The sequence below is a fragment of the Homo sapiens genome, chromosome 8 (assembly GCF_000001405.40).
Source record: "Homo sapiens chromosome 8, GRCh38.p14 Primary Assembly".
NCBI lineage: Eukaryota > Metazoa > Chordata > Mammalia > Primates > Hominidae > Homo > Homo sapiens.
Window position 1 is genome coordinate 135,549,084 of NC_000008.11, and position 10,494 is coordinate 135,559,577.

A 10,494-nucleotide genomic window follows, 5' to 3' on the forward strand; every position below is an offset into this window, starting at 1 on the left:
TGAGGTGTTAGAATTTCAGGAAGATTTAATAATATGGCCAAGGTTACATGGCTAAAAAACTTGCATAGCACAATCACTAGTTCAGGTTTTGAAACGCTTTTCCTACGATTTTATGTGACACTGTACAACTTTTTTGTTCTCCAACACAAAACCATTAGTGCCTCTGTGTGCCATGCACAGTGCTTGGTGTTGGCATGCAGACTTGAATAAAAGCAGTCCCTGCCCTCATTTAGTATAATATAATACGTAATTTAGAGGAAAAGAGAAACATCAACAGATGATTTCAGTACAACATGATAAATATAACAGACATAACCATAATGAGCCCAGAGGGGATGGGCTATTTAGCTAGCTTCTGCCAAGTATTTTGGATGTTTTGTTAAAAATTGACTGTCTGTTTTAACCCTTTCAGACACCTTCACATTGCTAAGGATGTGACAATTTAAAGGGAATACATCTCTACCTCTGTTACGAAAGTTGATTTAAGTCTTTTGTGTGATTTGTATGCTCTTGATAAAAGGACTTATTATGTCATTTGCATGCTCTTGATAAAAAGAATCGTAAAGCATCAACACTTTGGCTCTGCAGACAATTTATTTTAGAGAAGCTGACACATCTGCCAAGTAGTTCTCTGGATAAGACTGTCTTTGGTTATCCCAGGTTAGTTTGGTGGATTGACTTACATACTACAGCACATGTACTGTGATTATATTATCTGTGAGGAAAACAATTATTATATTTATAGGGAAAGGATATTTAAATCACTTTTGCCTTTAAAAAGCCAGGACATAGAATTGCATTAAGTATGTAATAACCTGGGAACTGAAATGGCTAGTATTTTCTTTAGTTCCCATGAGCAAATATGACAATCTATTTCTTCTTTTAGTTTAAAAACAAAATTTCTAAGGGCTTACTATGTGGTAGGCAGATGTGAACTAATAAAATACATGATCCCTCATGGAGTTTAATGGCAAAGAGTCAGATATGAGTCAGTTTTTCATATAAATGACTACAAAATTGAAACTATGGCGAGACCACAGCTAAGGAGAGGAGTAAGTTTTGGTGATCATGCAGTGTGGACCAGGCAGTGCAGATCTAGCCAGGTGAAACAGATTCTCTTTTCCAAAGATGGCTGCAGTAGCACCATTTATCCCATGACCCTTACGATCCTTCCCCAGAGGTAGACTCTAATTTACCTCACACAGAATCTGGACTGGCCAAAAAAGTCTTTGCCTAATGAAGGTCACCAGGATTTTCTACTGTTTTATTTTAAAAATTTTTCAGTATTCTTTCACTTAAAATACATTTTGAGTTAATTTGTATATTTGAGGTTAGTCTCTAAATTTATTTTTTTCTAGATGGATATCAGTTGTCCTAGCACCATATGTTGAAAAGACAATCATTTCCTCATTCAGTACCTTAGTACCATTGTTGAAAATTGACTAAACATAAATGTAAAGGTTTATTTCTGCATTCTCAAATTCTTTTTCATTGATTTGTATGCCTACTCTTAATGCCAGTAGCATGCTCTTAATTACTTTAGCCTTAAGTAAATCTGGAAATCTAGGTTGTGTAAATTGTCCACCTTTGTTCTTTTTCAAACATTTTTTGGCTTTTCTGGCTTCTTAGCATTTTCATATGTGTTTTAGGATCAGCTTCTTAATTTCTATTAAAAAAAAGCTGGCTAGGATTTGATAGATATTATATTGAATCTATAGATCAGTTTGGGGATAATTTTCATCTTAACAATTTTGAGTTTTCCAATCCAGGAACATGAAATGTTTCTTCACTTTTAAAAAAGATATTTTAAAATTTTTCTCAACAGTGTTTTATAGTGTTCAGGGTGTCAGCCTTTTCCTTTCCTTTTGCAAAATTGATTTGTAAATATTGTATACTTTTTGATACTACTGTGAGTGCAATTTTTAAAATTTCATTTTCAGATGATTACTAGTGTATAGAAATGCAATTGAGTTTTGTATATTGATTTTGTATCTTGTGATCTTGCCAAACGTGTTTATTAGTTCCAGTGTGGTGTTTTTTTAATAGAATCACTACAATGATTAAGTGGAATCCTAATTAGTGGAATACAGGAGCATGTCATCTGTGAATAAAGACAACTTAACTAGTTCTTTTCCAATATGGATGCCTTTAATTTTTTTAATGTAATGTTGTTATTCTATTCTATTCCATTCCACTCCATTCCGTTCCTTATGACACTGACTAGAACCGTGAATGCAGTGTTGTTTCTAAAATTGGAGGGGAAAGCATTCAGTCTTTCACCATTGGCTATAGGTTTTTTTTATTGCTACCCTTTGTCATGTTGAAGAAGTTCTCTTATATTTCTAAAGGATGAGAGTTTTTATCATGAATAAATGTATAAACATGGGTATTGAATTTTGCAAATCTTTTTCCTCCTGAGATGATTGTGTGGTTTTATTCTCCTTTATTTTGTGAATAATAGTGTATTACATTAGTTGATTTCAGATGTGAAGCCACATTTGCATTCCGAGGATAATTCCCACTTGGTCATGGCATGTAGTCTTCTTTATGTGTTGCTAGATATGGTTTACTAATAGTTTGTTAAGGATTTTTACATCTGTAATTATGAAGGATATTGGTTTGTCGCACAGTATTTTTCTGGAGTCTTTTATATTAACTTATACTATTTTGGGTGCCCTTCATTTCTTCCTGTGGATAGAGCTGCCATATGGTATTATTTCTTTTCAGCCTGAAGGTTTTTCTTTAGACTTTCCTGTAACCTAGGTCTGCTAGCAAAAAGTCTTTTGTTTTTCTGGGAATGTCTTTATTTTACCTACATCCTAAAAAACAGGTTATATAATTATTGATTGATCGTTTTTGTTTTTTGTTTCTCCAGCACTTTGAATATGCTACTCTGCTACCTTCTGACCTCTGTTATTTTTGATGAGAAGAGTCATTAATCATTTTGCTGTTCTCCTGTGTATAATCTGTTGTTTTTCTCTTGCTGCTGTCAAGATTTTTTCTGCCTCTGGTTGTCAGCAATTTGGGTGTGATGTATGTTTATCCTATTTGTTGGCTAAGCTTTGTGCATCTGTAGGTTTATGTTTTTCATTAAATGTGGAAAGTTTTCAGCTATTTAAACTTTTTCTGTCTTTCTACCCCCCACCACACCCCCTAATTCCAGTTACGTGTATGTTGATACACATGCTGGTGTCTCATGGATTTCTTACATTCAGGGTTTTTCATCCGTTTTTCTCCATGTACCTCAGACTGGATAATTTTAATGGACTAGTCTTCAAGTTAACTACTTCTGCCAGCTCATAGCTGTTATTGAACTCCTCTAGTGAATTTTTCATTGTTGGCAATACGCTTTTTAAATTTTCTTTTGTTGCAATTCCAACATCTGGGCCCTCTCCAAGACAGCCTCTTTGTACTGCTTTTCTCCCCCTGAGTATAGGTCACGTTTTCCTGTTTCTTTGCATGTTTCTTAATTTTTTGTTGAAAAGTCTGTATTTTCGATAACATAGCAAACCTGTAATCTGATGTATTTTCTTCCCAGAGGAGTTTTTGTTGCTGAGGTGTTTTTTAATTTTTTTTATTTTTTTGTCTTCTATTTCTTTAATAATTTAGTTGGAATAAATTTGCAGCCTGTCTTCCTCATAGTTACAGCTAATAATATCTCTGTTAATGTGTTTTTTTCTTGCGTTTATTTTTAAACCTGGCCTGCTAGGGATGTTGTCTGTGTCAGCACTGCTTAGTGGACAGCCAAGGGGAGCTCGTGTTCAGACAGCTGTGTAAGTGAGGTTTCCATCCTCCGATGATGGAGCTGTGTGTGTACATAGGGGAGTGGATCCAAGAAGACTCTCGCCATGTCCACCCTGGCTTTTCTGTTGCTCTGGGATGCCTCCTGTCTCCGCTGCATATATGTGCACTCACCTTCAGGAAAGGTTGTATGGAGAGCTTTGCCTCACTCTCTTCTTGCTGTCCATGCATATAGCCTTCCATCCAGCCAGAGGTGTGTGGCGAGCTTTTCAAGACTGTCTCATTTTCTGAATTATCTGTCCAATTTCTGGCTAGCCTGGTGGTCAGTTTCTTGACGCAACCCAAGATGGCAATACTAGGTGCATCCTTAGGCAAGCAGGCCAGACTCTCATATTTCTTACCTGAAATGTAGCACTTTTTAATGAATAAATATATTATATTTTCAGTTTATTGTGTACCATTAGTCAGTTTTCAGACTCCTAAAATGGTTACTTTGAACCATTTCGTCAGTTTTTATTTTGCTTTTTATGGGGGAGGCTTTGCTGAGCTCCTCCCTTAGCTGTACCAGAAGTCGCATGTCCTATTAGTACCTTTTGTTTTTAACTTACGTGATTTTGGACCTTGTTCCTATGAGCATATGCAGTTTTATTTCATTCTTTTTAATGTCTGCATAATATTTTATTATATGCATGTTCCAGAGTTTATTTAATTGGCCCTCAAATAATGAACATTGAGGTTACTTCTTATAGATCACAATACAAACAGTGATCCTAGGATTAACCTTGGACATAACTATTGGCCTATTTTGGCAAATATAGCTGAAGAGTAAATTCCTAACAGAGAGCCCACTGAATTTTTATGAGTTACTTTTAATGATTTCATTTAAAAACTTTTTCTCCATTCTTCAGGCTAACATACATTTGAATAGATTGTAAGCTCACTGGGTAGTCAAGTCCTGCTTACACATATTTACTCAAAATTTTAATGGCTTTTCTGCTCTTTACAATTCATGATGGTGTTAATGTTGTAATAGTTTCACTTTTCAGACGGGGAGTTAAAATGATAATTTAAAATGCAAAATTACAGAAATAAGTTAGTCTGTAAGCTACTATGAATGATTTGCATTCTCTACTAATTTAAAAGCATTTTTCAAAGACCAAGAAACTACTAACTATAATGGTTATATCAACAGTGTCCATTTGACACCAGGAGAAACAGTCACCTAGAATTTTAAAAAATTGTCTACAATCACATAGCTGTTAAGTTCAGGTGGTTAAATTTAGTCTTAGCCTCAGAAGTGATTGACTCAAATTCCATATTTCTTTCCCTACTACACTATTGTTAAATGTAGTTTTTCAAAGATGATATCTTAAATGGACGTTATAGTTTTTGTGATACTGTTATAATCACCTAACCTTACTTAGAACAATACTTTTTAATTTTTAATTTGTTTTTGAATAGGGCCTTGACTGTGTTCTTTTTGCATGAATCTATTTTTAACTTCATACAATTTAGTATTACACCTCCTAACACTTTTCAGCGGGTCAAATATTTACCATTTATATAGCACATTATATTTAGAGCTTTACAAATCACTTATTTAGAATGTGTTTTACAAATTATGTATTAATCTTCACACATTTTCAGTAAAATGGCTGGGAACATACTAATAGGATTATTTTAGAGAGGTTGAAATAATGATGGAAAGAATCAGATGTTTCCCCTGAGGTCACAATACCTGAAATAAGTCAGGGAAATAATTTATATTTACAATAAAATATTGACTCCATTCTTAATTTTTCCTGTCAATCACAGTTACTTGTATTGGTCATTATTTGCCTTCTCTTCTTCCTGCTTTGCAAGTGTTAGCTGATTATGATTTTAACTTTCTTTTTGATTGGTGTTCATATATTTTTAATTCCAGAATGCCTTCTACTACAAGTTTCAAGTCATTTTTTGCATTCTGCTTTTGAAAAATTTTTTAAAATAAATATCCTGAATTTCTTTCAGGTTTTTAATTCTAAATAATAAATAATTCAGGAATCTGTCTCCTCTAAATGTTCTATTTACACTCGAATATGCTCATGTTTCTTCTGTCTTAAAATCCTCTGTTCCTCCCTGCAAACTATGATCCTTTCTGTCTCGTTTTCATTGTGGCCATACAGCTGGAAGTAGCTGCCTGCCGTTAATTTCTGTGGCTTACTGCTATTTATTATTTATTCCACTGAAATGGATTCCATCTCCACCTTTCACCCAAACTATTTCTGATAGTAGTGGCTTTACTGTTAATGAATCCCATAGAATTAGGACTTGCTGTTTTGGCAGAATGTAAATACAACACTGACTTCCTGTGGCTTTTATAATGTAATATCTTCTTATCCTCCTCAGTTTCTTGCCACACCTTTTCAGTATACTCTGTGAAGATTCACTCCTTATGTTTTCATCAAAGACAAGCTTGTCCAACCCACGTGCCACATGTGGCCCAGGAAGGCTTTGAATGTGGCCCAGCACAAATCCGTAAACTCTCTTAAAATATTGAAACATTGAGATTTTTTTTTTTTTTTGGTAGTTCACCAGGTATCATTAGTGTTAGTGTATTTTGTGTGTGGCCCAAGACAATTCTTCCAGTGTGGACCAGTGAAGCCAAAAAAATTGACCCCCCAGAACTAAGAGTTGTATAGTTTTAGTTATTTACAGTTAGGTCTCTTGATTCATTTTGTTCTAATTTCTGTGTATAACATGAAGTATGTGGGGCTCTCACTTTATTTTTTATTTGTTTATTTGTTTATATTTATATGGCTTTCTAGTTATTGCAGTACCAGCTGCAGAAGAGACTACTTAAAAAAGCAGTTGACTGTAACTTATATCTGAGCTCTCACTTCTATTTCATTGATCTTTTTTAAAGATCTTTTTTAAAATTTGTTTTTTATTATACTTTAAGTTCTGGGTTACATGTGCAGAACGTGCAGTTTTGTTACATAGGTATACACGTGCCCTGGTGGTTTGCTGCACCCGTCAACCCGTCACCTACGTTAATTCTCCAAATGTTATCCCTCCCCTAGCCCCCCATCCCTCGACAGGAGCTGGTATGTGATGTTCCCCTCACTGTGTCCATGTGTTCTCATTGTCCACCTCCCACTTATGAGTGAGAACGTGCGGTATTTGGTTTTCTGATCTTGTGATAGTTTGCTGAGAATGATGGTTTTCAGCTTCATCCCTGTCCCTACAAAGGACATGAACCCATCCTTTTTTATGGCTGCATAGCATTCCATGGTGTATATGTGCCACATTTTCTTAATCCAGTCTATCATTGATGGACATTTGGGTTGGTTCCAAGTCTTTGCTGTTGTGAATAGTGCTGCAGTAAACATACATGTGCATGTGTCTTTATCCTAGAATGATTTATAATCCTCTGGGTATATGCCCAGTAATGGGATTGCTGGGTCAAATGGTATTTCTAGTTCTAGATCCTTGAGGAAACGCCACACTGTCTTCCATGTAGTTGAACTAATTTAAACTCCCACCAACAATGTAAAAGCATTCCTATTTTTCCACATCCTCTCCAGCATCTGTTGTTTCCTGACTTTTTAATGATTGCCATTCTAACTGGTGTGAGATGGTATCTCATTGTGGTTTTGATTGCATTTCTCTAATGGCCAGTATGATGAGCATTTTTTCATATAACTGTTGGCTGCATAAATGTCTTCTTTTGAGAAGTGTCTGTTCATATCCTTTGCCCATTTTTTGATGGGGTTGTTTGCTTTCTTCTTGTAAATTTGTTTAAGTTCTTTGTAGATTCTGGTTATTACCCCTTTAATTCTCATCCTGAGGCAGGACTTCTTGTAACAAACTTACTATTTCCTTTTTGATCCTTTAGACCTGAACTTTCCCTTTTTTGTAAAATAGATTACATTTAAATTTACCCATGTCTTAGCTGATGATTGTTGAATGGAGTTCAGGGTGCTAAGGAAGCAGGAGAAATCAAGGACCACTCCTAGAGTTTCGTAGTTGAATATTTTGATAATAATTTAAGATGAAAGAGCAAATTTTCAGGAATAAGATTATGTGTTCAATTCTGAAAATGTTGAATTTCACAACTTGTATAATTTTCTACTGGAAATGTACAAAAAGCCTGTGTCCCTGTGGTTCTTAACTACATGAAGGCTATGCTGTTGTGTATGTATATATATCCTTCCTCTTTGCTAGAGTGAAGTCCTTGGGTGCTGGGCTATGGCTTAATTCCTCTTTGTTTCTCTGTTACTTGGTTCATTATAGATAATCAATACCTGCTAGTTGAATTGAGTTGTAAATAACAACACCCATATATCAGTTTTATGGTATTTTAATTTTATTATAAATGTCTCACTTGCAAAGTATGCCCAGAGAAAGGTTAGTGGCTGATTATAGAAAATTTTAGCTTGAGGAAAAAATGCTGTAGTTTTTTTCTTCCTTTTTTACAAGAATTTATTATCACATTTTTATTTTAGCAAATTTGTATTTTGTTTTGTAAATTCAACTATTTTCCTAACCCTTTTTTCTATTAAGAATTACTTGCTTTTTGTTCTAAATATTTTTGCATTTCTAATATGAAGTGAATTTTGCTATCTTCTGTCTTTTGTGTAGGATTATAATGATGAGATCAGGCAAGCACAGCTCCAGGAGTTAACATATTTGAATGGTGGTTCAGAAAATGCAGATGTTCCAGTGGTTCGAGGGAAACCCACCTTGCGTACAAGAGGTGTACCAGCCCCAGCAATAACCAGGTAGGTGTAAATTTTTTTTTAGGTTAACATACCGTGGCAGCAGTTTTAATATTTCCTTTATTAGTAGCCAAAACCAGTTCTATCTGAACAAAACTTGTATTCATGTGGGCATGGTGGCACATGCCTGTAGTCCCAGCTACTCGGGAATCTGAGGCCAGGAGTTCGAGGCCATGGTATGCTACGATAGTGCCTGTGAATAGCTGCTGCACTCCAATGTGGGCAACGTAGTGAGACCCTATCACTTTAAAAATCATAATCATAACTTTTTTAAGCCTATGGTCAAACAATGTGATGTCATATTAAGGGGATTTACTTTGGAGTGAGATATTCCTGGGCTTAAATATAACCTGTGACACTTATTAGCTGATGATTCTAGGTGAATATTATTATTCACTGTAATATTACTTCTTAAATTTTTTTAAATGAGACTTGTTTTTTATGTAAGTAATCGCATTGATATGAAGATTGGGCTAGCAGTCACTTGTGTTTTGCCATTGAGTAAACCATCAGGCTAGTTCATTGCAACATCACCAATCCTAAGCACAGTGTGAGACACCAAGTCAGTGCCCACATGCTTGTTGTAATTTTATTCACTGTAAAAGCTCTGTGGCATCTGTAAATTCCTGAGCTGGTCTAGGCACACACATTTTTTATTTCTCTCCTTGGATTGGTGATTAATGTTAATGGGAAAATGTTTTGAAGAAGTCATAAATCTGATATGACTATCTCAAATTTATTTGAGAATTATTTTTAATTTTTCAATCTTTGAAGTCAGTGGAAAGAATAATGCAAATTTTTCAATTAAACTAATGACTATGGATAAATTTTTATTTTAGATAGAATTTTGCATGAAGTAATTTAAAATAGCATTCTTGTATATCTCTAAGTTTATTTGGGAGAATAAAAAGTCACTTCCTCAATTATGCATTGCTGATTAGAGCAATGTCAGAGCAGTTATGCAAGAAACATAGATATGGGTATGATACCTATGGATTTTTCTCTATTAATAAAAAGAGCTAATAGTAATAGGGTTGCTATTGATGATTTTATGAGATAATTTATGTAGGTACTCAGTAAATGGTAAATCTCTTTCATTTCTATTTTTTCTACCATTAAATTTACTTGAAATCTTAGGAACTTACTTACCTGCTTCATTATTTTCATGTGGCTGCTGTGACAAATTACCACAGATTTTTTTTTTTGGCTGAAAATGATAGAAATGTATTCTCTGATCGTTATGGAGGCCAGATGCCAAAATCACTATCACTAGGCCAAAGTCAAGGTGTTGGCAAGGTCGTTCTCTCCCTGGAGGCTCTAGGGGAGATTCCTTTCCGTGTCTCTTCCAGTTTCTGATGGCTACAACATTCCTTGATTTGTAGGCACGTCACTTTAACCTCTCCGTCCTCACACTGCCTTCTCTTGTATCTATAATCTTCTGCCTCCCTTTTACAAGGAGACATGTGATTATATTTAGGGCACACCAGGGTAATCCAGAGTAATCTTTCCATCTCAAGATCTAAATCACATCTGTAAAATTTCTTCTTCTAGATAAGGTAATGTAACTAGATAAGGTAACCTTGTCTAGAAATTTCTTTTTCTAGATAAGGTAACCTTGTCTAGAAATTTCTTTTTCTAGATAAGGTTCCTGGGATTAGGACAGCATAATTTTGAGTGACCTACTAGTCTAGTTAGTTTTATCTTTGCTGTGATAGGAGCTTGTACATTTACAAGCCAAATACAACAAAATATATTTTATTTTATTTTGTTTATTTATTTATTTTTTGAGATGGAGTGTTGCCCTGTCACCCGGGCTGGAGTGCAGTAGCACGATCTTGGCTCACTGCAACCTCCACCTCCCGGGTTCAAATAATTCTCCTGCCTCAGCCTCCCGAGTAGCTGGGATTACAGGCACCTGCCACCACACCTGGTTAATTTTTTTGTGTGTATGTATTTTTAATAGAGACGGGGTTTCACCCTGTTGGCCAGGCTG

General features: G+C 35.1%; 1 protein-coding gene across 15 annotated transcripts in view; it reads left to right on the forward strand.

Annotated features, from left to right (window-relative positions):
* The window catches only part of KHDRBS3 (KH RNA binding domain containing, signal transduction associated 3), a 199,061-nt gene that overhangs the window by 91,628 nt on the left and 96,939 nt on the right, over nt 1-10,494 (forward strand). For all 15 annotated transcript variants that reach the window (XR_242372.3, XR_001745458.2, XR_928287.2 and 12 more), the window contains one exon: nt 8,365-8,504. Coding sequence is in view for 9 of the 15 variants with exons in the window: in XM_047421269.1 (XP_047277225.1) it covers nt 8,365-8,504 (140 nt within the window). In the remaining 6 variants the exon portion in view is untranslated. The remainder of the gene's footprint in view (nt 1-8,364; nt 8,505-10,494) is intronic.